Source organism: Homo sapiens, chromosome 18, assembly GCF_000001405.40.
Source record: "Homo sapiens chromosome 18, GRCh38.p14 Primary Assembly".
NCBI classification, from domain to species: Eukaryota; Metazoa; Chordata; class Mammalia; order Primates; family Hominidae; genus Homo; species Homo sapiens.
In genome coordinates, this window is record NC_000018.10 from 72,004,850 (window position 1) to 72,010,699 (window position 5,850).

Sequence of the window (5,850 nt, forward strand, 5' to 3'; positions counted from 1 at the left end):
ACCATTCTAGGCAGATAGAATTTTTGATAAATTTGAGAACTTTTGAAGTATTTCATTTTTAATCATCTATTATATAATGATCCATTAAAATGTATTTTCTTACTATAATGTCAAAGCATCTATAAATAGAATTACAATATTAAATGCACACCAGAGGGATGATTTCTTGAGGACTCTGCTATTCACGGATTGTTTCTGCTCTGGATATACTTTGGCTTCTCCATTATATGTGATGCACATCCTTGATAAGGAACTTAACACCATACTTGACACTCTATGACTAAACCTTTCACAACACAGAAAATATATGTGAAGCAGATCCATTAAAAATTTAGATAGATTCTACCAACTCATTGCCCAAACTTACCCATTATCCTTTAGAGCCAAAGTAAGGAACAGCTCAGCTGAAGAACTTATATGTAAATTTCTCATACTTTTCCAGTAAAGAAGCCAAAGGGATGAAGACATTATATTTTTTTCAAGACCTTAGGATCATCAGAAAATTGTTATCCCTGATTTCTAGTAGTATATAACTGGAATATCATCTTGGTAGCAACTCCAGCTAAAAGCATCTTGTTGCTTTGTAGTCATCCTTTCCTCTGTTTTTTCCATGTACCTCTAGATCAGAACAGTTATTATCCCTTTGGCTTCCTCCTGGGGAAAATAATATACCTGGAACATCATGGCCTGGGCTTCACCAAAATTCCTTCCTATTTTTCTCAGCTCCCCAATGAAAACTTAACACAGCTAAATATCCCTTTTAGTTCAACTCTGATGTAACGGGTAGATGAGCTCTTACTTTGCTCATAGGACAGTGAAGTCTCTAAAAATGATTCCAATTTCTCAGGCTCAACCTTAGAAGAAACAAAACTTCGAATTTCCAAGAGAGATTGTAATTTTGCCAAGACACAATTCATTATTTGAGAACGTCCTATCTAATGAGGGAGAAATACTCTCTACTGATAAGCCAAAGACTATCCAAACCTATTGAAGACACATTACAAAGTGATAAATGATAGGATTTCTAAGTTTAATTGGCAACGAGTGCCAAGGTGTTCTAAGATTACAACATCTCTTTATGAATTGACTAAGTCCTTAGTAAGAGACCCTTGGCTATGGGAACCTAAACATGAACGCTTTTGGTAACCTGAAGAGAATTCTTCAACAGCTTTGTTCTCTAAGCATCTCTGTCTACCAAAAGTTATTTTTTTTTAATCTATTTGTGCATGAGCTACATGGACAATCCTTAGGGTTTACCCTTTATGTCAGGAAAATAGTAAAAAACAAAAACAGTGGTGCAAAACCTGTTGGTACTTCTGCTAAAAATAATGCTAGGCTCCCTGCTTGATCTCATGGTTCTTTACCCAGTACAGACATTACTGCTGAGAGCACACAGCACTTTCAGTCTGCCCATGAACCTCTTCTGAGATGCTGTTAATCTTTGCCTCTCTCATCTTGGAGGCCACTTTGCAAAAATGAAAGAGCCTCCATTATCCTGTATGCATAAATAACTGGAAAGAGCAGAATCTCTTCTCAATCCACCATCTCCACCACTAACTGAACTTTATGTAAGCACGGAAAAAGAAGCTGATGTGTAAGTGATTGAGATTCCAGAAGTAATCTTTTATTTCATCTTGTCTTTAACTTAATAAAGTGATTATTGTTCTCTTTAAAAGGCATATAACACTAGTTAAATGGAAATGTGGATGAATCTGAACAGCTAACCTAAGCCGATGTATTTTATTCATCGTAGTAAATATAGTATAGGTAAATATAAACAGGGAGCTTGTTATTCTCATTCCAATAAATTGAAAGATTAATTTTTTGCTTTTTTTTCTTTGAGACAGGGTCTCACTCTCTTGCCCAGGCTTGCCCTTCACCACTGCAAAACTTGAACGCTGACACTCTGCCTCCACTAGAAGTTCAGAATAGTTTGTTTTCCTCAGTTGTGGAATATTCTTTACCCCTCTTGTATTTATTGGTGACTGTCATTGAAAATAATAATATATCATATTTTTAATGGGCCATATCTCAGAACTAAAATTGGAGATTTTTAAGCAGGATATATTATTACCAATTTAAGCTCTCTTTTAAACTATAGCCCTCCATTGAGGTAAAATTAGCTAAGATGGCCGCATTTATTGCATATACCAGAGCTTGTCAACTAGCCAAAAATTATCTATACAGATGACAAGTATGTCTCTCGAGAAGTACATCAATTAGAGTCCACACAATGGATGTAACCCTTATCTAAAATGGACAACAAGTTAATGGACTTTTAAGTACATGCCTACTTTTTAGAGAGGTGGCCATTATAAAGTTTGAGGCCCAGGCAAATCCAGATGTGGACATATGGAAGCTGAAGGAAATATAGAAAAGCATTATGCCAACGAGTAGCTGTATCAAAGGCTATGATCCTGTCTTAATCATCAAAGGATACATTTTGGAATAATTCAAGTAAGTCATTACAAGATATCAATAGTTATTTGGTTTGGGAAGGAAAGAATGAAAAAATATATATATGGTTGTACTCTTCACTCAGGTAATCTCTGACCCTCTGAAGATGGCTGCCTGGTAGCACTCAGTGATTTCAAATGGATATTCACTAAATTTCTTCATAAAACTACTCATCATGGTATAGACAAATTTGTTGTTATCTTAAGTCAGCATTGGTAGGGGAACTTTGAAATGACAGTTGACATTATTTTCAAATCATGAGTCATTTGTCAGCAGCTGAAGAAAAACTGTAAAGATATACATGAACAGATTCCAAAGCCTCAAGAGTATTTTGAACACTTTCTTGTGGATTTTATCTGACTTTCATCCCCTCAAAGAGATTTTTAATATGACTTAGTCATCATATACCTATTTTAAGAATCAGGTGGAGGGTTTCTTTAGTAAAAATCTGTACTTTTCACAGTAGTTGAAAGGCTGGATGATTTTGTGTTTTCATCTTGAGGCGCACATCTGTGGGAATTGTGATGAATAATTTTATGTATTGACTTGACTGGGCCATGGGATGCCCAAATATTTGATCAAACATTATTATGGATGTGTGGATGAGGGTGCTTTGGTTGATATTAATGTTTAAATTTGTAGATTTGGCCAGAAGCGGTGGCTCACGCCTGTAATCCCAGCACTGTGGGAGGCTGAGGTGGGCGAATCACAAGGCCAGGAGTTTGAGAACAGCCTGGTCAACATGGCAAAACTCCATCTCTACTAAAAATCCAAAAATTAGCTGGGAGTGGTGGTGTGCACCTGTAGTTCCAGCTACTCAGGAGGCTGAGGCACAAGAATCTCTTGAACCCGGGAGGCAGAGACTGCTATGAGCCAAGATCGCACTACTGCATTCCAGCCTGGGTGACACAGCAGAACTCTGTCTCAATGAATAAATAAATAAATAAATACATAGTAAATGTGTAGACTGAATAAAGCACATTGTTCTCTCTTATGTGGGTGAACCTCATTCAATCAGTTGAAAGAAATAATAGAAAAAAAAATGCTGACCTTCTGCTGAAAATGAGAATTCTTCCTGGCTGATTGCCTTCAAATTGAGATATCAGCTTTCTTCTGACTTTAGACTTAATCTGAAACATCGGCTTCTTCTGAGTCTCAAGCCTACTGGCCTTTGGACTGGAGCACCACCATCAACTCTCTTGGATCTCAGACATTTGGACTTAGACTGAAACTAAACCATTTGCTCTCCTGGGCCTCCAGCTTGCTGTCTCACTCCCCAGATCTTGGAATTTGCCAACCTTTATAATTATTTCATGAGACTATTCCTTATTTTATGTGTGTGTGTTTGTATAATGTAATAAAATATATTGTGAAATATATTAAATTATATATAATTATATAATATTTTTATAATAGTATAATATGCCATATATTATATAATCACATAATATACCTTAATATCATATACATACACATGCATATATACAAAAGCAGATGTATGTATATATAATATATAATACATATATGAAAAAGTATTACAAGGTACTTATGTACTATGACCAACAGGGTAAGGCTACCTTTGCACAACATTTTCCTAAACAACTTATTTATGATTATTAAGCAGGAAATTTTATCTACTGAAGGATGCACCAGAGAAAAACGTCCCTTGAACGTTGTTGAAGTGGATCTTATCAGGCACTGTTGGTAACAAATACAATAGTGGAACTCTAAGGAATCAAATCCTAGTTCATGTTTCATAACTAAAGAACAAATTTAGAGCACCACACAACTGGAAGACGATTCCAATTGGGGACTTCAAACTGTCGCTTCACGGAGATCCTCTAGAAGCAGTAGGTCTTTGGAAGCAGACAGTGATGCAAAACCTTTGGAAGAAGCAGATGGCCTCAGATAGATTCCCAAGACATTGGAACAAGGCCCCTGTCTAATTATGGTTTTACTTTTTATCCACTTGCTTATAAACATTTTTCTCAAATAGACCTCTGATTGTTTTCCATACACAATAACCCTTTGTTTTTTTCATCTTCATCACTGTAATTGTTAGGTCAGAAGATACTCACTCTAATGTCATTTTCAGATTACCCCAATCATTAGTCCTGCCCTCAGTCTTAGCCCATTACCAAACTCCCATGAGAAACCATCCAGTCTCATACAATGGAACCACAGCAAACTATAGCAGATGGCATTTCCACTTTCGTGAAATGTACAAATTACCTTTAACCAATCAACTTGTGACTTTCTAGTATCCTTTTGCCCTCTAAAAAAAAAAAGAACCAATAATCACAATCTAAAGTCCATACCCTGGGTAGTTCTAAACTTGAATTCAACATCCATTTTAGGGTACTACACTAAACATTTGCCACCTGGGATAGACTAATAGAGACAGAAATATATAACTTAGCTAATGTAAGGCCTCAGTTTGATCTCCCACATGCCCCTACTGGATACTCTTTTGTTTGTGGCAAAACATCTGGTGTTTGCCTCATGCTAACATGGGTGCTTTAAGAACAATATTGTGAGATGTGTCTATACAAAGAGACCACACTTCTCTGAACACCAAAACTATAAATTCTGACACAAATATGAGTTCTAAAATGAGGTCACCTTGATTATTCAGGCACTCTACCTGGGGAAATTACTGATTCATTTTTTTATGTGAACTGATTCATTTTTTATGTGAACAAGTAGCGTTTCCAATGGTGGAACTCACACGAGTAGAAAAGACTGCAGAGAAATTATTACATTATTAATGGAAACACCTCTGCCCTAGATGGAATATAGCTCAATCTCAACAGCATGAAGAGTGATGCATAACGCATTTGCTCTAGGTTTCTTGTTGGCTAGTCTTGATGACATGTGTGCCACGGCTAATATTTCTTACTGTACTTGGATCACTGAAGCAGGTAAGCAGACGAGGCTATGCATTCCCTTAAGGAAAAAGCTACTTGGCTTTCTCAGGTTCATCCTAATGGTGTTTGGAATTTTTCTGTTGGACAACTGGGGTTCCTGGTTCTAAAGGATCTTACTTGGATTTTTAATGATTCTTGTTTTTGTCATAGTGGTCCTAATAATGGCCCACTGAATTGTATTTTGAGTACTAAACGCTTCTTTATCATCCTTTGGTACATGATGATGCAACAACAAAAGGTAAGTAGAAATCATCATAAACTAATTATAGAAATAACTGAACAATCTCTGAGAAGATCTGGCTCTCTAGCCTTCTTCGAATTGATAAATCTCTTCCAAGTGAGAAACTGACCAACGAGAGGATTGACAAACAATATACAAATGGATTTGATCAATGATCATCAGCTTCCTTGTATTTCCCCCCAAATTTCCAACTCAGGACCAAACAGAAAATGTCGGATTCTTACC

At 36.4% G+C, this 5,850-nt stretch overlaps 1 annotated feature.

Moving 5' to 3' along the window:
- Positions 1,915-3,114: an enhancer, noted in NCBI's record as "BRD4-independent group 4 enhancer chr18:69673999-69675198 (GRCh37/hg19 assembly coordinates)". NCBI's record gives its function as "activates an origin of replication core promoter dependent on BRD2, P300/CBP, MED14 and CDK7 cofactors, and independent of BRD4, by STARR-seq in HCT116 cells {active_cell/tissue: HCT116}" and the evidence as "EXISTENCE:reporter gene assay evidence [ECO:0000049][PMID:35650434]".